Here is a 21434-nt window from a genome sequence, read left to right as displayed (position 1 = left end):
GTGGGGGTCGGGGGGAAGGAGAGCATTAGGAAAATTAGCTCACGCGTGCTGGGCTTAATACCTAGGTGATGGGTTGATCTGTGCAGCAAAGCACCATGACACACATTTATGTATGTAACAAACCTGCACATCCTGCACATGTACCTTGGAACTTAAAAATAATAAAATAAAATAAAATAAATTATGGGCCAGGTGCGGTGGCTCACGCCTGTAATCCCAGCACTTTGGGAGACTGAGGTGGGTGGATCACTTGAGGTCAGGAGTTCAAAACCAGCCTGGGCAACATGGTAAAACCCCATCTCTACTAAAAATGCAAAAAAAAAAAAAAAAAAAAAAAAAAAAAAATTAGCCAGGCGTGGTGGCCTGCCCCTGTAATCCCAGCTATTTAGGAGGCTTAGGCAGGAGAATCACTTGAACCTGGGAGGCGGAGGCTGCAGTGAGCCAAGATCGTGCCACTGCACTCCAGCCTGGGCAACAGAGCAAGGCTCTGTCTCAAAAAAAAAAAAATTATGTTCTGAGCTCTCTGATTAGTGGTCAGCAAACTACATACAGCTTATGGGCCAGATCTGGGCCCTTGCCTGTTTGTGTAAGTCACGTTTTATTGGAACACAGCCGTGCCCCTTTGTTTATACATCGTCCATGGCTGCTTTTGTGTTACAGTGGCAGGGCTGAGTAGCTGCGCAGAGACCATATGACCTACAAAGCCGAAAACATTTATTATTTACTATCTGCCCTTCACAGGAAAAGTTGGTCATTTCATGCTCTCAAGGGTGGATGCAGATCTTTTTCAAGATTCTAAAAATATCTTTTAACCTAAGAACTGCTCTGGACTGAATTGTGCCCCCATGCCCCAAATTCATATTTGGAAATGGGGCCTTTGGGAAATAATTAGGTTGAGATGAACTCATGAGGGTGGGGCCCTCTTGATAGGATTGGAGCTCTTATAGGAGAGATACCAGAGCACTGGCTCTCTCACTCCCTGTCACATGGGAACATGGTGAGAGGGTGACCCTCTATAAGTCAAGTAATCATGTTATCACCTTGATCTCAGACTTCCGACCTCCAGAACTCTGAGAAAATAAATATCTGTTGTTTAAGCCACCCCATCTATGGCATTTTGTCGTGGTGGCCCTAGTGGACTAATATAAGAACTTGAATCAGCTTGTATATCTCCAGAAAGAAATACTCTGTATATATCATATCACCCCAGTCCATTTTTGTGGCTGTCTGTGCTCATGTACATCAAACGGTGTGGCAGTACCTCCAGCAGTGAGATGCCATCACATACCTGCCCCACTGCCGTCACATTCCCAACCCAACCAACATGTGTAGAGGCAGCAGCCAGTCTACAGACCAATGTGTGGGCTGGCCCACATCACCTTTCCACCGAAAGCCAACGTACATCACTGTGGTTTCTCTCTGCCTAGCTTTGAATGTCAGGAATCTTTTCTTCTTGTAGTTTATTTCCATAACATCTATTGGCCTATATCTATCTGAAAGAGTAAATGAGTATGGTGAATGCATTTTTCAAACAAGAAGTTGGGATGCAAAATCGAGTGAACACATGTATGAGATGTGGAATCAGGACAGCCCCAGGAAGCCCGTCGTGATTCTGTATGTCTCCAACTCCCATGAGTCTGAGAGAGCAAGACCCATCCAAAGGAAAGGCTACAGGAAGGACATTTTACTGTCTAACAAAATATACTGGTCAGTTGAAAATCCTCCCTTTGACAAGGGAAAAAGTGTGCTTAGTCACCACTAGTGAGGGCTTTGCTTTCCATGTGGGCTTCAGAATGCAATTTCCCTACCTTGAAGCAATTGCTGGGACTTTTCCAGACCGCTCTGCCACTGCATAGCTCTGTGCTTTCCAATTAGCATAATTCAGGAGGGGACCAGATGGCAGGTTGAGCATTGCATAAGGAATTGTTCTGTATATGAATAAGTGCCTACTTAGTGTGTAAGTGGGTTATTAGTGATCTGAAGCGACAAAATTCAAAACAACACACAACAGCCATTTGGCACAGCTGTGTCCGTCTAGACTTTGCTTGCGAAGACACCCACAGTAAAATGTGTTTCAACAGTTAGCTATCAGCAAATGCCAGCAAGCCTCTCTGCACTCACATCTTTAAAAATAAGAACAACACAAAATTGACAACGTCTTGAAATCAGGCATTATAACGTTTGCTCTTCACTATTCTCCTCTGAGGATGGGACAAGTAACCCAGGCTGTGCAACCAGCCACGAATGGAGACTTGAATTCAGGTCTGCTGATTCCAAGGCTGATGCTTAATCCCACAGACTGGAGGGGAAGTCGACAATGTCTAGAGCAAGGGCTTTGGAATCAGACGGACCTGGGTGAGCCCCCTGGCTACACCGGCTCCTGATAATGTAACCTGGGGTAAATGTTCCCCTGGTAATGCAGCAATGATACCTGTGACGTTTTGCTCACCTTATTTGATTTCTTCTGTAGGACAACAACCCAGGGGGTTTCATCTGTCCTACAGAAGAAATCAAATAAGGTGAGCAAAATGCCTGACACCGAGTGGGTACACAACAAGGTACCTCGCCCTGTCCCTCACCCCTGCTTGCCACCAGATAGACCCCTGGCCCCCTGCTGTGGCCCTGGTAGGGCTGACTACTCTGTTCCAAGGTTTGACGGGAACCAGGAGGCTTCTTCTCTACCAGGCTTCAGCGGAATTGCTTCATCCCTGCAGAGCACCACCTTCCTGAGCTGCCTTAATCGACTTCCAGTTTATTTTTTCTCTGTGCCTGTATAAACTTACGACTACTTCTGAAACCCAACCCTCCTAATTTAGAGTCTTCTTCCTCCTTGCAAACTACAGCATGGACATGGGCAGATGTTTCTTTCCTTTTCTTAGACTACTCTTTCTCCTACTCCAAAATATTTCCCCATAAACTAACTCATGCCTGACATTAGTGATATCATTGGAGAAAAAGAGTATGTGAGATTCTGGCTCTTTTCAGGTATCTGAAGAGTAATCCTTTGGATACCAACGCTTTGGGGGAAAAATTACCCATTTTCAACGGAAAACTTTGTCAAATGTAGAGCATGTACTTCTCTTTCCTGTTGAAGAGCACATGTTTTGCTGGGTGACTCAGGAAGAGTGCCATGAGGAATAGCTCTTGTTGCCTGTGACTTGGGTGACGGGAGGTGGGCAGGGGTCTTGCAAGTCTGGCCCTGAGTGGGCTGTTTGTCCAGGAGGCTCTGCTTTGGTGGCTATGGTGTCCCTGCCAGCCTCACTGGGGCTTCAACAGGCGCTCTCTGTCCCCCAGCCCTGGACAGCCCAACTCTACTCTTTCCAGTACCTTGAGCTGAAACCCAGCAAGAAGCAAATGTTTCCCAGTGACAAAGAAGACCCATGCTTGTTAAGTCAGAAAGTTTGAGTTCATGCAACACTCCAATGTAAAAGCTTGTTAGAGGTCTCCACACCTGGGGAATCAAGCATAGAAGCTTTGTGACCATCATTTTCCTCCTGGAAAAAAAGTCTTGGGTGGGTGTTGTAATCCCAGCACTTTGGGAGGTCAAGGTGGGTGGATCACTTGAGCCCAGGAGTTTAAGACCAGCCTGGACAACATGGCAAAACCCCCATCTCTACAAAAAATACAAAAATTAACCAGGCGTGATGGCACACACCTGTAGTCCCAGCTACTTAGGAGGCTGAGGCAGGAGGATCACCTGAGCCTGGGGAGGTTGAAGCTGCGTGAGCCGTGATAGCACCACTGCACTCCAGCCTGGGCAACAGAGTGAGACCCTGTCTCAAAAAACCGAACAAACAAACAAAAAAACAAACGAAAAAAACCCAACCAAACAAAAAAAAAAACAACCAACCAAAAAAAACTCAACTCCTTTATTTATTTAAAAAAAATGTTTTAATACATACGCAAAAGTAGAGAGAATTGTGTACAGAAGCCCACATACCCTCCACCCAGCTTCACTAATTAACAATATTTTGCCAGTCTTATTTCATCTATCTGATTCCTCCACTCTTTTTCTAGTTTTATTTTTTCTGGAGTGTTTTAAAGCAATTACCAGGTTTCTCACAATTTCATCCATAAATATTTCAGTATTAGTCTCTAACAAGATAAAGACATTAAAAATGTACTGATAATGCCCTGATTATAACTAACAAAATTCATAACATTACAGAGGCCTGGGCTGCAGCTGTATTTCAGCTGGCCATGGATAAACATGGTCTTTACGGTCTTATTATGTAAGATTCCCTATGGTCTTTTCAGAGCAATCAACAGAATCTTTTTTACTTTGACATAATTTCAAACTTGCAAAAGGCTTACAAGAATAGTACAAAGAATTCCCATGTAGTATTTATCCATATTCCCCAAATGTTGACATTTTACCATATAGTGTCTATCCTTCTCTTTATATCTAGATTTATACTTTTTTTCTTGAAATTGTTAGTATATTGCAAATGTGATGCCTTCTTGTCCTTAAAAATTCTCTTAAATAACTACAGTACAACAATCAAACTCAGGAAATGAACATAGATATAGTGCTATTATCTAATCTATAGACCTTATTGAGAGTTTTCCAGTTGACCCAGTGATGTCCTTTAGAACAAAAGAAAATCCTGAATCATGTCACTTATCGTGTCTCTTCAGTATTCTTTGGCTTGGAACAGTTTCTGAGTCTCTTTATGTTTTATAAAATTGGTATTTTTGGAAAGTTCTGGTCAGACATTTTGCAAAATGTCCCTCAATTGAGGATTATCTGATATTCCTCATGATATAATTCAGGTTATGCTTTCCTGGCAGGAAGATCACAGACGTGATCTTTTTCCTTCCCAGTTTATCATATCAGGAGGCATATTCCATTCATTGATCTGTCCTATTATTAGTGAGGCTAACTTTGATCACTTGATTTACGTAGAATTTGCCAGCTTTCTCCACTGTAAAGTTACATTTTCCCTTTGTAATTAGTACCTTGTGAGGAGATACTTTCAGATTATGCAAATATCTTGTCATTTCTCAAACTCCCTCTTTCATAGTTTTAGTATTTATTTGTGATTCTTGTCTGAATTGATACTTATGATGGAAGTCAAATGGTGATTTTCTAAGAATATTATTCCTTTTGTATTTATTCATTGAGTTTCTGTAAGGAAGAATTTCCCCCTCTCCCCCATGTATTTATTTACTTATATCAATGTAGATTTGTGATTCTTATTTTTTAAAAACAGGCTGTAATCCTTTCCTTTTATTATTTATTTTGATGCTCAAATTGTGCAAGAGTTAGCCAGTGAGAGCCACCCTAAACTGGCCCCTGTGTCCTTTTGACATGTCCCCATCATTCTTTGATCACTTCTTTACCTTCTTGCATAACAAGATGTTATAGGCTGATCTCATCCTTTCCCTGCCCCAGCCCTGGAATCTGCCATTTCTCCAAGGCCCTGATTCCTTTTACAGGAGAAGAGCATTTAAAAACTAAGATCTAGACATTAGGCAACCCCACTGCTACTGGGATATCACTGCTTTTAGGCCCTCTTAGTGGACAGTGCTGGAAAATACATGTCATATACACACACACACACACACACACACACACACACATACACACACATACATCCATCTTTCTCTCTCTATATATATATCTATATATATAATATATATCTATATATAATATATAGATATAATATAATATATATAGATATAATCTATATCTATCTATATATCTATCTATATATAGATATAGATATATAAAATATAGATATAGATATATAAAATATAGATATAGATATAGATATATAAAATATAGATATAGATATAGATATATAAAATATAGATATATCTAAAACCATGATAGATTTCATTGTCTTATTATGTTAGATTTTCTAATCCAGAGGCACAGGGTTCATTCTATTCCTCCCCTTTCCATAATTGTAACTTCATTCTCAGATAGGGAAAAACCTGGCTCCCACTATCCACAATATATTTACTTGTTCAGAACATAGTTTCAGAATTGCTAACCCACACTGCTGTGAAAAGGAAGCCTACTAACTACAGTAAAATATTTGTTTAAAGTTCTTTTTGTTTTTGGCCTGAAGACACAGTAGTGTAAATACTATGTTCAAATATTACTGGGTTAATTTTTTTCCTGGGTGATTATGTTATTCAAAACTGTTCTGTTGAAATGCTGTTCTGTGAATTTGTTTCTGTTTGTACTCCATCTTAGGGGTTTTCTCTATCCTTGTTGATCTTATATTTTATTTATTTTAAGCATATGAAACATTAACATGACTCCCCAAACCAGAACTGTTCAAAAAGTTATGCTCAGAAAAATGTCATTTTCCCCAACTCCACAATTTTTCTAATCTTTCCACCCCATTCCCTACCAATGTCCTGTAGGTAACCAATCTCAATAGATCCAGGTTTATCCTTCTGGTGTTTAATTTTGCACAAGTAGGCAGATAGATGATTATTTCCTTGTTTTCCCTTCTTTCTTACATTAAAGAATACTAAGCATAGTATAAAGTCTCCCCTGCACTATCAGAAAAACATTTTAAGGCACCTAAGTTAGTTTAGTTCTTTCTTGCAGTTTCTAACCATTTCCTGTATATCTTGGATCCCCTATGACTTAGCGGGTTCTTGGAATCTTAAATACACTGATGTGAAACTGTATAAAAGACTAAAACAGGTGCTGATTTTTTTAAAAAAGCGGCCTTTATTCCCTGCTGGACAAGCATTCTCAACTAAGAATTCTAGAAGAAGCTCCAAACCCATTACAGGTGGAAAACACCACACTCAAACCCAAGATCCTTGTTTGGGAAACAGTTCATCTCTCAGCCAGATGTCCTTTCCTTTTAACAGAGCTGGGCATCCACAAACAAAATAACCAGAGCCTGGAACAAACAGCTTCATGGATTTTTTAAGTTTAAAGATTTGAAAGTCAAACAGGCAGTCTTTTACCCAAAGCTGCCACTCTTACTTGAATATAACTTTGCTTGGCTTACACGCAGCCCAGTCCTCCTGGCAGAGGTTCTTGGGAGAAGGGGGGCCGCTGGGACCCCTGCTTTTCCTGGCAGGTAACAGGATGCACCTGCTCAGAGCTCCAGCCTCCAGGATGCACAGCACAGCTGTTTTTTCTTAGTCTGAATAAGCTAGATCAGAGGTAACAGAGGGATGGAAGCAGGAGAGCAGAAGGACAATTTCCCATCTGTCTGTTTACCTTTTAGCAGTCCCCCTCCCAGAGACTCAAGCACTGGAAAGGAACTTGGTAGAATTTGTCTCAGATCCCCTAGGGGTTAGCAGGTGGTCCTTGAATTTATACCAGTGTATAGACAAGCCTGCCTGAGGCCGGCCAGGATGCACCCACAAGCAAAGAAGCCAACGGAGGCAATTAACACAGGCCATTACCACTGGCTTCTCTACCATCCCAAGCTTCGTCTAGATTGAGATCCGACTAATCAATTTTTGGAAAATATGTATAACTCATCTTGGAAAATATGTACAACTCATCTCTGACAAAACTAGACCAATTCAGTGGGGACTCTATCCTGCTCAGATTACAGAACAATTATCTGCCCCATGGTCTGGCTGTGGACTATGAGCTGTAGGGAAACTGCTCTTCAGACCATCCTAGGAAGCAAGCAGGGGCTGGAGAGTGCCCAGACCTCCTTCGTCTGTCCTCTGTAGGATTTAGCCCTGGATAGCTCATGAGACCTGGAATGTCCCTTGCTGTGAATTCCAAATCCAGCCAGAGCATCACAGAGTTTTTCAAGGATGCAACCACAGATACTGGTGATGGTGAGCTCTTCAGGCCTTCCATAAACCTGGGCATTACAGACATTTGCCCCAGCCCCCAGGACTTACATGTGTCACAGCCCCATTGTAAATAAGAGGGTGTTTCTCACAGGATCTCCAGACCAGCAGCATGGATGGATGCCCTGTCTCCTGTGTCAATGATGCCAACGCATAAGCAGCGCTTCCCTTGGGGAGACTCCTTGCTTCTCTCATTGCTGCTTCAGAGGCTGGGGGATGTGGTATAAAAAGTGCTAAACTTAGAGTTGGAGCCTCTTCAACAAATCTGGCCTCTGCAACTCTATGTGACTGCAGTCAATTCACAAAGATGACTCAGCCCCAACAGGCTCAGCTGTAAAAAGGACATGATAATAAGGTTAGCTACCTTATAAGAGCTGGGCAAACATTGAGTAACAGAACAGTAATTAATGTGTGTTGTCAGAACTATAAAACATTCTTTTAAAATGTTTGCTGTCTTTCCCATAAAGTGGACACTTGCTTACTGTCTATTCCAACAGTGTAGACTGGGGAGCGGGGAGGTGGGCAGCAGCTCCAACTAATGCCGCAAATCTACCTCCAGGTGTTCATCAGGCACCTATGCTGTGTTTAGCACAGAAAACGTGTAGGATCGGGTTGCTTCTCTCCAGAATTACCATGAATTAGGAAGAAAAAAAAATGCAACACTTAGGAAGAGAGAATTCAGAGAAATCTTTATGGAGAATGGAACAGGAACACTGGGCCTCACAGGGAGGTCAGGAGAGAAAGGGAAAGACACTGCAAGTATTTGGTATCATCTTTTTGGTAAATCAGGATCCTGTAGCCTTGAAGGCATAGTTTTTTCATTGTGTATTAGTTATTTCTCAGAGGCATCCTTGTATTCTTGTTAGAGACTGACTGTTACATTTAAAGATGTGGGAGGTGTTGGCAGTGTTCGTGGAGGGTCGCGCCCTCCCCACCCAGAGTGAAGCTTGTTCTGGGCACTGGCTTCAGCAGCTAAGCGGGTACAGCATCTCTGCATCCCCTTCTCGACTTTGAGGAAGTATTTGTCAAGGAGACTTATGTTTCACAAGCACCTACTCAGTGCCAGGCTGCACGGGGCTCCTCCCAAGGGCCCATGACATCAATGTGGTTATTGGCATTTTACCGAGGAGGCAAGTGACGGCTTAGAGAGTAGCTCGATAGTGTCACACAGCCAGGATGTGAACCCTTTGGAAATAAATGAAGACCACACAAAGGACAACACACACCTCCAGGAGATTTTATTTAGGGGGTATGCTTTGGTTTCTACAGGTGTCTCCATGGAAGCCATCCTGAAACTCTTTGGAGAATACTTTCAATTCTGAAGATGTCTGGCTATGACAGGATGCTACGGACACTGGGAGGAAATCTCATGGAGTTTATTGAAAACCTGGATGCCCTCCACAGTTACCTGGCACTCTCTTATCAGGTAAGGCCACTTGAGTCTGGTCTTGGCTGCCCAAGAGGAAGCAAATGCTGTGGCAGTCCTGGGCCAGCTCCCCGCCTCCCCCAACAGAGGCACGGTTGCAGGAGAACCCTCCCATCTGCAGAATCCTTGGTACCTGGTGTTGGTGGGCTCAGGAGTTCTTTTTGGAAGAGAATGAAAAAGAAACACCTGCTGGCCACTTTTATAAACTGGCTCACAAAAACCGAAGGGATGGCCTTTTCAGATAGGGTGTGGTGTTGATTTGGAATTAAATCCTGGAGACTCATTACAATTGGAACAAAGGCTGGAAAACAGTCAGGTTTCAGTGCATTTGCAAAAGCTCTCCTAAGGTTTCCTGGCCAGGATGGAGCTGATAAATTGCATATGCAGCCAGATTCATGTTATTCATGTATCAGAAGGGAAGACTTGACAGGGCTAAGAGCCAGAATCGGAAACCATCCAACTCTGATTAACCCATGGGTGACTGACTGAGGTGTTAGGAAACTAATTTCCCTACTGGGATATATCCTTCTGGAGTTCTTTCCTTGGGTTTCTTGTTTGTAGAGATCACTGGAAATTCAAATGCCTAGATTCTCTTTTATTTTTTAGACAAGAAAAGGTGAAAGAGCATTTATACATATCATAATAATAGTTTATTGCTTTAGAGAACATAGTTTAATTTTAAGGCCTTATATATTTCACCGAGATCTTCCTTCACCATTTCTATATTGGTGTTCATATCCACCCTTTCAGGGTTGTCATGGGGACAAAATGGGATTGTGGATGTTAAAAAGCCTCAGCAACCCTTACACCCCCCCATAGACGATAAATGGGAAAAGTATTATTTTCTCCATTTTTCATATAAGGAATCAGAGGCTTGGAAGCCTTAACTGACTTCAATTATGAATCATGAATAGTTGGGCATGAATAGCTGGGCCTGTCCTATTGTTATCATGTGAACTACTCAAGGGTAGAGGGAGTGGAAACAGCCCTGCTTATGGGGTCAGATGGGCCCATGAGACTGTCCCACTGGCTCTACCACTTAACAGCTGTGCGATCCTGGACAAGTTAGTTGCCGTCTCTGAATCTCAATTTATTTTATTTAATAATATTTATTGGGTAACTAATATTTATTGAGTGATACTATGTATCAAGTACTTTTTAAGGTATTGGACACAAACAGAGACAAAAAGGAATAAATAGGGAAAAGATAACTTACCTCATAGCAATATGTGGATTACAAGAGATAAGATGGAAAAGTCTAGCATTGCAATCAGCCCAGAAAAATCAGCTTTCCATAAATAAATAATAACTCTATTCCTTCCCCTTTCTTTTCTCTCTGTTCAATATGGCCAGTTTAAGAATTAACGATAATTTGCATGACAACTTCCTTTCAATTTCTTAGCTAAAGCACAACAATTAGGATATAAAGAAATAGAGTTAGGCCCTTTTAATATTTTTTTATAACACATATATTTTTTATCCTATGATCTTTTTCCTTTGCTTTTTTATAATTTCAATTTTTTAAAAAAGATTCAGAGGGTACATATGCAGGTTTTTTACATGGGTCTATTGCATGATGCTGAGGTTTGGGGTATGATTGACGCTAACACCCAGGTAGTGAGCATAGTACCCAATAGTTTTTCAACCCTCGACCCTATCCCTTCCTCCCTCCTCTAGTAGTTCCCGGTGTCTGTTGTTGCCATCTTTATGTCTATGTGTATTCAATATTTAGCTCTCACTTATAAGTGATGCTAGAGAAGCAATAGAATAGAACTTATCTGGTGGTATTTGAGGACATTTTGCACATAATGAGGTAAATAAAATATTTAAATATTATAATATACAAGTTGGAAGAAAATACATGCAATGATACCTAACAGCTATATAGTGCTTTATTCTGGGCAAAGTATTATAGATTGTCTCTTTAGGCAAAAATAACAAAGTAAGATAATGTTCACTTTTTTTGTGTCTATCTAGTAATTTGGCAGTGCCTTTAAGGTATACATTTCTGGTTATAACTGAGCCTTTAATCTTGTTATGCTTTGGCCAAACTTCATTGAGTGCTAATTATGAGGCAGGTGTTGGGCTAAGTAATGTGTCAACATTGACTTACCTTCTTGATGCCATAAGAGTAGGCAGTCTTATTTTTCCTGTTATACGGATGAGAAAACTGAGGTCCAGAAAGTTCAAGTAACTGTCCCCAAATCACCCAGGCATGGTGGCTGAGCTGGACCCAAACCCACACCTGTCTCCAAAGATCCTGCCCTGTGCTGTTCTCATTATTCTTTGGAATAATAAGAACTTTGTCAAAGATCACGTGGCTTTAGGTGTACAGCCTTATTTCTGGGCTTTCTATTCTGTTCTGTAATGATACCTAACAGCTATATAGTGCTTTATTCTGGGCAAAGTATTATAGATTGTCTCTTTAGGCAAAAGCATTTTTTTTATTCTGTTATTCTTTGCCCTAATTCTCCACTTTTAAAAAGCCCTATTTGAAGCAAGAAATAAAAGTGTAATTATATTATTTAGAGACTTAGTGACATTGACCAGAAGAACTAAAAGCATGAACTTTTGGAAGTGTCTCTGGGCAGGGGGTAAGGAGTGAGGGGCATGAAGCAGGATCACGTGGACTTTCTTTCAGGCCTCTGTATTCTGTTACTTTATTTTCACTATGTAGGATTTGGATATAATTTTTAAATTAACTGTTAATTTCCTATTTTATTTATGCTTTTTATATGTGCTGCCTCAACTACTCTTTACATTTTGTCAAGATGTAAACACACATACATACAGATAAATATATGTACTTTCTCTAGGTACATACTTTTGGAATTAGAAAAAAATAGTATTTGAGGGCTGGGCGTGGTGGCTCATGCCTGTAATCTTAGCACTTTTGGAAGCCGAGGTGGACAAGATCATTTATGCCCGGGAGTTTGAGACCAGCCTGGGCAACACAGCAAAGCCACATTTCCACAAACAATACAAAAAAAAAAAAGTAGCTGGGCATGGAGGTGGCGTGACTGTAATCCCAGCTACTCAGAAGCCTGAGGTGGGAAGATCATTTGAGCCTAGGAGGCAGAGGCTGCAGTGAGCCGTTACCGTGCCACTGCATTCCAGCCTGGGCAACAGAGCATGACTCTATCTCAAAAAAATAAAAATAAATAAAAAATTAAAAAAAATAAAAATAAAAAAGTATTTGGGGAAAAAAAAGAAACCCATTTTAACTAACAACATTTCACCATGGAAGACGACAAAGATCTTGGAAGGAACCCATCTCCTTTACCTATTCCCTCACTTGGACCAAAAGCTGTGTGTCCAGGGTGCTGAGTTGCCCTCTAACTAGCTAGAGACTCCCCTAGGCAAAATCTCTATCCTTCTTTCCTAGTATACATCTCATTTACTGTGAAATGATAGGTACTTGAATGTCAACATTTCTGGAGAAAGGGGAGGATCTCTTCTGATGTATCCTTGAAGGTTCTACTTTTTTTTTTTTTTTTGAGATCGCTCTGTCGCCCAGTCTGGAGTGCAGTGGCGCCATCTCGGCTTATGGCAACATCGGCCTCCTGGGTTCAAGCGATTCTCCTGCCTCAGCCTCCCAAGTAGCTGGGACTACAGGCATGTGCCACTATGCCCGGCTAATTTTTTCGTATTTTTAGTAGAGACGGGGTTTCACCGTGTTAGCCAGGATGGTCTCTATCTTCTGACCTCGTGATCCGCCCGCCTCGCCTCCCAGAGTGCTGGGATTACAGGCACGAGCCACCACGCCCGGTGGAAGGTTCTACTTTCTAAATGTTCAAATTGATATCACAGAAGACATTATCCTTTCAGAACAAGACATTGATTAATTCTACTTGCAAATTCTCTGATTCCCTGATGTGTTGGAAAGTGAAGATGCCCATGGTCACTTGGTCACAGGCCAAGCGCGGCGGAAACTCACTAAGGCTTCCTGTTACCAGCAGACAGCTGCTTTTGGAATATGGGTAGAAACAGCATGGCACGGTGCAAAGGCTCATTTGGGAATCAAATGTTGTTCTACCATTAACCTAGGTTTGCCTTCCCTGAGCCTCAGTTTCTTCCTCTTCAAATGGAACTAGTACTTGCCATATAGAGTTGTTTAAAGTACAGTAGGTATAGTATAAAATTCCTGACATACAGGAGCAGAAACAGTGGGAGTTTCTATGTGATTGGAGAGAGGGTTGGCATATAGCTCTGTATGATGTAATGGGTAAATACTATTGTTTCACAAAGCGTCAAAAGCATAATTTACACAATTTGTGTCCACTGGGAAAAATGTGTGTCTTTTAATTAGGAGATGAATGCACCATCGTTTCGTGTGGAGAGAGGAGCAGATGGGAAAATGTTTCTCCATTACTACTCGGATAGAAGTGGTCTGTGCCACATTGTACCAGGTATGGAAATGGCTTAGCTGGCCGCAGAGCTATGGGGCTTCTGAAGTGAGGAAGGTTTCCCCATAGATTCTCCAGGATGGCTAATAACTGGCTACGGGTAAGAAGTTAAAACTCTTAGAATGTGTGACTTCATATCATCTTGACCACTGCTCCCAATGTCCTTGAGCTTTTAAAATAAGTTTCCAAAATTCCACAAAAATGAGTAATTTGTACTTTTCTTTCAACATTTTAAATCATACAGGCTTTTACATAGTTGTGATAATTCTGCGTATATTATTTTGTATCAGCTTTTTATTTGCATTTAGCATTGTAGAAAAAGCATGTTTCCACATAATCTTTAAAACCACATATTAAGTGGCCGAATGATATTCCATATTGTAATTATCTTAACTAATCCCCTATTATTAAATTTTCCATTGATACTAATCGTTTGCTTTTGTAAACAGTGCTATCATGAACATCTTCATACATGCTTTCCATTTATATATTTTTTTCTTTTTTTTTTTTGAGATGGAGTCTCGCTCTATTGCCCAGGCTGCAGTACAGTGGCGCGATCTTGGCTCACTGCAAGCTCTGCCTCCCGGGTTCATGCCATTCTCCTGCCTCAGCCTCCCAAGTAGCTGGGACTACAGGTGCCCACCACCACACCTTACTAATTTTTTGTATTTTTAGTAGAGACAGGGTTTCACTGTGTTAGCCAGGATCGTCTCGATCTCCTGACCTTGTGATCTGCCTGCCTCAGCCTCCCAAAGTGCTGGGATTACAGGCATGAGCCACCGTGCCTGGCTCTTTCCCTATATTTTGTATATAACCCTGGGATAGATTCCCAGGGGAACACTTTTTTGAACTTGATCCTTAATGCTTTTACAACTGAATTTTGCTTACATTATCTCTAGGTTTATTTGTTTGTTTAATGAGTTAAATGCCTACCTGAAATAACAAACAAATGAATAGATGCCAAACTAGAAATTAAAGTGGCATGGATATATTTGGTATCCAAACATGTATAACTTCAGTCTCTGCATATTTTTATTTAATTGGCTGTCACTGATGTCTGATTTGAAGCAGGGCCTGGGCTTGGTGAACTTCAGAATATTCATCAGAAGTTTTGCCATTTGATTATTTTATGATTTTTGCTGATAAAGTTGCCTTCGGCCATCCCTCGACAATAGGTGTCCTTCTGCTGCAGGTATCATTGAGGCTGTGGCCAAAGACTTCTTTGATATTGATGTAATCATGGACATTCTTGACATGAATGAAGAAGTGGAGAGGACAGGGAAGAAGGAGCATGTTGTGTTTCTGATTGTACAGAAGGCTCACAGGAAGATGAGAAAGACAAAGCCAAAAAGGTTACAAGACAGTCAGGGCATGGAGAGAGACCAAGAGGTACTGGGTTTGCTGTGCCTTTAGAAAGAACAGTTGCACTTAAGTAGAGCTACGAGTCTTGGAAAAATCTATGCAAACAACAGAATCAACTGGACCTTTTTGTTTTTGTTTTTGTTTTTTACGTTTTCCTTTAAGTTCTGGGTTACATGTTTTGAATGTGTAGGTGTGTTACATAGGTATGCATGTGTCATGGTGGTTTGCTGTACCTATCAACTAGGTTTTAAGCCCCACATGCATTAGGTATTTGTCCTAATGCTCTCCCTCTCCTTGCCCCCTGCCCCCTGACAGGCCCCGGCGTGTGATTCTCCTCTCCCTGTGTCCATGTGTTCTCACTGTTCACCTCCCACTTACGAGTGTCTGCGGCTATACCACCCTGAACGTGACTGATCTCGGAAGTTAAGCAGGGTTGGTCCTGGTTAGTGCTTGGATGGGAGACCAACTGGACCTTCTAATAGTGGAATTAAGGCAGAGTTTCTCAGTTTTGGCACTGCTGACATTTTGAACCAGATAATTCTTTGGTGTTGATGGGGTGTCTTTCACGTCATAGTGTGCTTAGCAGCAGCCCTGGTCTTTTCCTACTAGTAGAACCTCATCCCCTCATTTGTGGCCAAACAAAAAAGAAAGAAAAAGAAATGTCTCCTGGCATTGCCAAGTGTCTGCGTAGTGGGGGTAATGGATAAAATCATTCCCAGTTGAGAATTGCTGGGTTAAGGTTAAGTGGATATATACTGGGAAGCATTCTGGGATGCACCTGAGCCTGGACAATTTTTCACCTATAACAATAACCATATGAAGGATTTGAAATTTGAATTTGATGGCTTTTTTTTTTCAATCCTCCTCAAATAAATTGATCTTTCCAGTCTTCAGTGCCCACTTCTGCAGCTGGAACCAGTCATAGGTCCTGAGTCAACTCAAGACTCTGTACTTGGCCACCCCAGTTGCAACTGATAGGGTGATCATTACCTGCTTAAGTTACCATGTATGTTAGCTGAACAGCTCTCCATGCACATAGCTTGTGAAAATACCCAGATTAGGATTAGTCTCTGATTCCTTAGAGTATTTTCAAAGTCCATCTCAGAGTCTGTTCACTGCAGAATCTTCAACCACAGGAAGAAATGTTCGTGCATGATTTTCTTGCCAGATATCATCCTAGTTCCCTCTTGAGATTTTCTAAAAAGTTATTGCTTTCTTTGATAGAGAAACAGCATGAGGACTAATTTGATTAAAAAATACCGGGAACGCTAAAGTCTTGGTAGAAGTGATCTTGTAAGCCCTCATGCTGTTCCTCTGGCCATGGATACAGTTCCTTATTTAAAGGTGGACCCCATCACAGCAAATGGGGTTTGTGCTTCTCCAGTCATGTGACCAGGTACCTGTCTCCCTGCCACCTGCAGGCCCTCCAGGCAGCTTTCCTCAAGATGAAGGAGAAATATTTGAATGTCTCTGCTTGTCCTGTGAAAAAATCCCACTGGGATGTTGTGAGAAGCATAGTCATGTTTGGAAAAGGTAAGTGAGTGATTCTCCCAAGCTCAGCTCTGAGATCAGAAAGATTGCTTGATTCTCAGGAGTAGTGGCCAGTGTACACTGACAGGGCCAAGCCCTCTGTGATTGTGTTGGCACTAGTTTCTGCAAAGCTTGGATTTGGTGACCATGGTTTTTAACTTTAAAATGTCAGGCTCTAATTGTCCTTCCATTGCCTCTCATTATTTGTGCCGGGTGACATGGAGACATCATCTCCCCTGTCCTAAGAAAAAGTTTTTGGAGACACAATTGGAATCACTCCCAACAGGTGATGGGTGGAGAGAAGGAAGATGAGCACTGATGTGCCATCAGGAACAATGAATTTTCCACAGCTCGTCTTCTGCAGTCAGGCCTTCTCCATTTGGACACATTTCTGGACTGGAGATCTGTGGATAACAACCCTAGTCGCCCAAGCAAAGGACACTAGATCAAGAGCCAAGAAAGCAAGTTTCTGGCTCTGTGCCTAAGGAGCTGTGTGACCCTGGACAAGAGTCTCCATCTTCTCATTTGCAAAATGCAGGCATTAGGCTTGCTAAGGTACCCCTGTGGGCACTGAGCCCGTCTAACGATTAGCACCTAACGCCTGAGTCTGAATAAGGGCTCTGATCCATTGGGAGAAGGGAGTTAGGGTGCTCTGCGTCACGACTCAATGGGCCAGGTGACACGCATCTGGGAGAAGGTCTGCAGGGCTCAAAGGGCTGCATTTTGCGTCCTTCAAGCCATGGCAAGTGAGTCAAACACGCAATTGACATCCTTTGTCTAGGAGATTTTCATATCAAAAAGGCTCCATTTCGAATCTCTACCCCCTGCCAAATAGGACTGTTGGTTAAATTTTCACGTGCCACCCAAAACTGTCAGTCTAAAAAGCTCCATGGCAAATGTCCCTGATGCTGGGCCCGGAGCACACGCTCTGCTCTGCTAGCTCATTGTCTGGCTGTCACCATTTCAATGCCGACTCTGTGTTCATGGCGAGACATACTCAATTGGCCCAGAAACTCTTCAGCGGCAGGCAGAAACTTGGCAGGGGGCAGGAGGGCTTCTCAACCTGGTAGCAAGTTTTCTGTTTGTTTTAATTTGGAAGAAGAATTGCTGTGGCCATCTGGAGATGCTGAGGGAGTCCATGCAAAAGAAGTGAGATTGCACTTTGCTTGTGAAACACTTAAGATACTATCCCTATCCCGAGCTCTGCTCTGTGCAAGGGTGGAGGCGGGAGCTGCTTCTCATCAGCACTTCCTTTTTCTATGTCCAGGGCATCTCATGAACACCTTTGAGCCAATTTATCCTGAGAGACTCTGGATTGAAGAGAAGACATTCTGCAACGCTTTTCCTTTCCACATTGTATTCGATGAATCAGTAAGAGACTCTTCCCTCTGTAGCTTAGAATTGGGGCTAAGCCAGGGAAGTGAGCATGATTTACAGTCCTTCATGAACAGTGGAGATTTTCAAGTCCCTGAGAAATTCCCAGGGCTTGGGAGACTAGGCTTTATCCTGGCAGGACCATTGATTTGCTTTTCATATTGTGGTATCCTCCAGAATCCATTATGCAGGATCTTCTTGATAGGGTAGAAAGGGAGGTTTGAACTAGTGAATGCATGGGAAAGTTTACCATTAGAAAAAAGGGGAAAAGGAAGTGACACTAAAATTCACTACATAAAGAGACAGCAGAACACAGTCAGTAGCAACAATAGGGTGGAATTCTACCCATGAACTCTTCCCATCCTTGTGACCACCATGTATGTCTCCATCCCACCCAGCTTCACATTCTGCCTCTTGAACATGGGGAAGGGGTCATGCCAACTCAAGCCACTGCTCTGTAAGAGTTGTGAGCATAACTATTTAAGTTTGATTGTTAATCCATTTCTATGGATAAAATATATGTCAACTGAATTGATTAGGAACTCATTTAAAGGACACCTATTTTACTTCTTCCTTCTGTGTGTTCACTGGAGATAGCAGTGAAAGGTATTCCCCCACCCCCTTGATGGATTTCTTCACCCAGGCCTGGGTGATAGATCCAATGCTATAGAATTTGCTAGTTTCTTCATTAGTAAATGATAGAGAGAGTGAGAGAGAGAGTTGTCTCAGAGAGCAAGGAGGAACTATTAGCCCAACAGAGAGCTGTAACCTCATTTCTCTTTAGTCGGAAATAAGCCTCTGAGCACTCTCGTATTATTCTTTTCTCTTTCAGACATTAGCACAGATTTGATTGTTTCAAAAAAATTTATTACTTCCATGATGTTGATTCCATTACTGACCCCCTTTCCCGATAGTGAGCCACAGAACATGGCTAGAATGTTATTTCCAAGGGGAAGTTTATGGGAAGGGAGGTTGCTTTCTATTCCTCAGCTTATATCTGTCCTCTGTGGATAGCTACAGGTGAAGCAAGCCAGAGTGAACATTCAGAAGTACGTACCAGGACTCCAAACCCAGAATATTCAACTGGATGAGTATTTCTCCATCATTCATCCTCAAGTTACCTTCAACATTTTCAGCATCCGCAGATTTATCAACAGTCAATTTGTCCTGAAGACACGAAGAGAAATGATGCCTGTAGCATGGCAAAGTCGGACTACACTCAAACTTCAAGGTAATCACTCACTCCTTTCCTGTTGCTCCCCACCTGTTTGAGAGATTGATCCGAAAGGGAAGAGGCAGTTTTCCAATTTCCTAAAAAGTAGGGTAGGGGCTACGTTGAGAACACGTTTTCTTTTTTCTGACGTTTCCACTTGACTTGATCTGTAAAGAATATATTTTATTTCCTCAACCATCTCTGGCTTAGACGTAAACTATGTATGTAATATAGTTACATACATAATTATACAAGTATATACATTATGTAATTATAAAATTCTGATATGTTACCAAAATTTTCAGAATGCATGAGGTGCTATTGGTATTAAATTAATGTCTGTATTTTATGTAGCAACATGATCATCTAACTCACTATTAGTAGGGCCCACATTTTGTTTTTAATTGTAGTAAAATTTACATAACAAAATTTACCATTTTAATAATTTTTAAATGTACAGTTCATTGGTATTAAGCACATTCACACGTTGTATGTTGTACCTTCACTACCATCCATTTCCAGAACTTTTTTATATTGTGCAAAACTGAAACTCTGCCTATTAAACAATAATTCATTTGTCCTTCCTCAATTCCCCAGTAACCAGCATTCTACCTTCTGTTCCTATGAATTTGACAAGTCTAGATACCTCATATAAGTGGAATAATACAGTACCTGTCCTTTTGTGACTGGCCTATTTCGATTAGCATAATGTCTTTAAAGTTCATCCATATTGTAGCATGTGTCAGAATTTCCTGCCTTTTTAAGGCTGAATAATATTCCACTGTATGAATATACAACATTTTCTGTATCCATTCACCCATCAATGGACAGTTGGATTTCTTCCACCACTTTGCTATTGTGAATAATACTGCTACAAATGTGGGTGTACAAATCTCTTTGAGTCCCTGCCATCATTTATTTGGAATATATATCCAGAAGTGGCATTGCTGGATTATATGGTAATTCTATTTTTAATTTATTAAAATTAGGAACTTCCATACTGATTTTCATAGTGGCTGCTCTATGTTACATTCCCATCATGGACATCAATGGACAAGTGTTCCAATTTCTCCACCATCCTCATGAACACTTATTATCTGCTTTTTAAAAAATAGTAGCCATCTTAATGGGTGTGAAGTGGTATCTCATTGTGGTTTTGATTTGTATTTCTCTAATGATTAGTGATATTGAGCATCTTTTCATGTGGTTAATGGCCATTTCTACTTATTCTTCAGAAAAATGTCTATTCAAGTCTTCTGTCCATTTTTAATTGAGTTGTTTGCTTTTGCAGTTGAGTTGTAGGAATTTCTTGTACATTCTGAATATTAACCTCTTATCAGATATATAATCTGCAAATATATTCTGTATGTTACCTTTTCACTGTTGGTTGTGTCCTTTCATGCACAAAAGATTTTAATTTTGATGAAATCCAATTTATCTATTTTCTTTTTTGTTGCCAGTGATTTTGGTGCCATATCCAAGAAATTGTTGCCAAATCTGATGTTGTGAAACTTTTCTTCTATGTTTTCTTTTAAGAGTTTATGTTTTAGCTCTTACATTTAGGTCTTTGATTCCTTTTGAGCAAATTTTTGCATATGCCTTGAAAGGGCACACATTCTGAGCTATCTTTCTATTAGAGGGATGTTTAGTTATTCCAGGGATAAGCACAGGCAGAACTCGGGGGATGTCCAAGGGGAGAATGACATGTTCTGGGAACCCGAGTGAGGTGTAGAGTGGAGTGATGGGAGAGGAGGCTGGCAAGATGAGGACTTGAACTCTATCATGCAGCTGGAAACATGCTGAAGTGTCTGCCATGATCAGATTTGATGTTTAGAATGATCACTCTGGAGGTGTGTGAAGGATGGGTCACAGTGTAGAGAAAATGGATCCTGGGAGGCCAGACAGAGGCTGCTTCTGGAGTCCAGGAAAGAAACTCTAAAGTGCTAAACTCTGGCAGTGGCACTGGAGTGGCAATTGGAGGATAGACTCACAAGATAATTAAGGCAGGACTTGGTGACTGGATGTGGGGGGTGGAAGAGAATCGTTAGGATAATTATTAGCTTCCTTGATTGGGTAACTGGGTGATGAAGGTGCAATTAACTGAAAAAAAGACATAATGTAATGTCCTTGAGGCAGGGATTTTTGCCAGTTTGAGTCACTGCTGTATCCTCAATGCTTAAAACAGTGTGCCTAGCTCATCGCAGGGACTAACTACATATGTAATGAAAGAACTAATAGAAAGAGAAGATTTGTGGAGGGGATCGAAGTTGAGTTCAGTGCAGATATCCATGAACAGATACCTAATAGGGAGAACAGAAGAAAAAAAAACACT

The 21434-nt window shown here is 41.4% G+C and overlaps 2 pseudogenes across 1 annotated transcript in view; both read left to right on the top strand.

Annotated features, from left to right (window-relative positions):
- GUCY1B2 (guanylate cyclase 1 soluble subunit beta 2 (pseudogene)) overlaps positions 1–21434 on the top strand; it is a 71647-nt pseudogene that overhangs the window by 22938 nt on the left and 27275 nt on the right. Inside the window, exons 4-9 of the transcript NR_003923.2 lie at positions 9061–9217; positions 13527–13626; positions 14816–15012; positions 16407–16518; positions 17783–17886; positions 18904–19120. The product of NR_003923.2 is annotated as a guanylate cyclase 1 soluble subunit beta 2 (pseudogene) (transcript). The remainder of the gene's footprint in view (positions 1–9060; positions 9218–13526; positions 13627–14815; positions 15013–16406; positions 16519–17782; positions 17887–18903; positions 19121–21434) is intronic.
- RNA5SP29 (RNA, 5S ribosomal pseudogene 29) lies at positions 15368–15473 on the top strand (annotated as a pseudogene).

The sequence above is a fragment of the Homo sapiens genome, chromosome 13 (genome assembly GCF_000001405.40).
Source record: "Homo sapiens chromosome 13, GRCh38.p14 Primary Assembly".
NCBI classification, from domain to species: domain Eukaryota; kingdom Metazoa; phylum Chordata; class Mammalia; order Primates; family Hominidae; genus Homo; species Homo sapiens.
The sequence above is the reverse complement of the archived record's forward strand: the minus strand, read 5'-3'. Positions and strand labels throughout refer to the sequence as shown.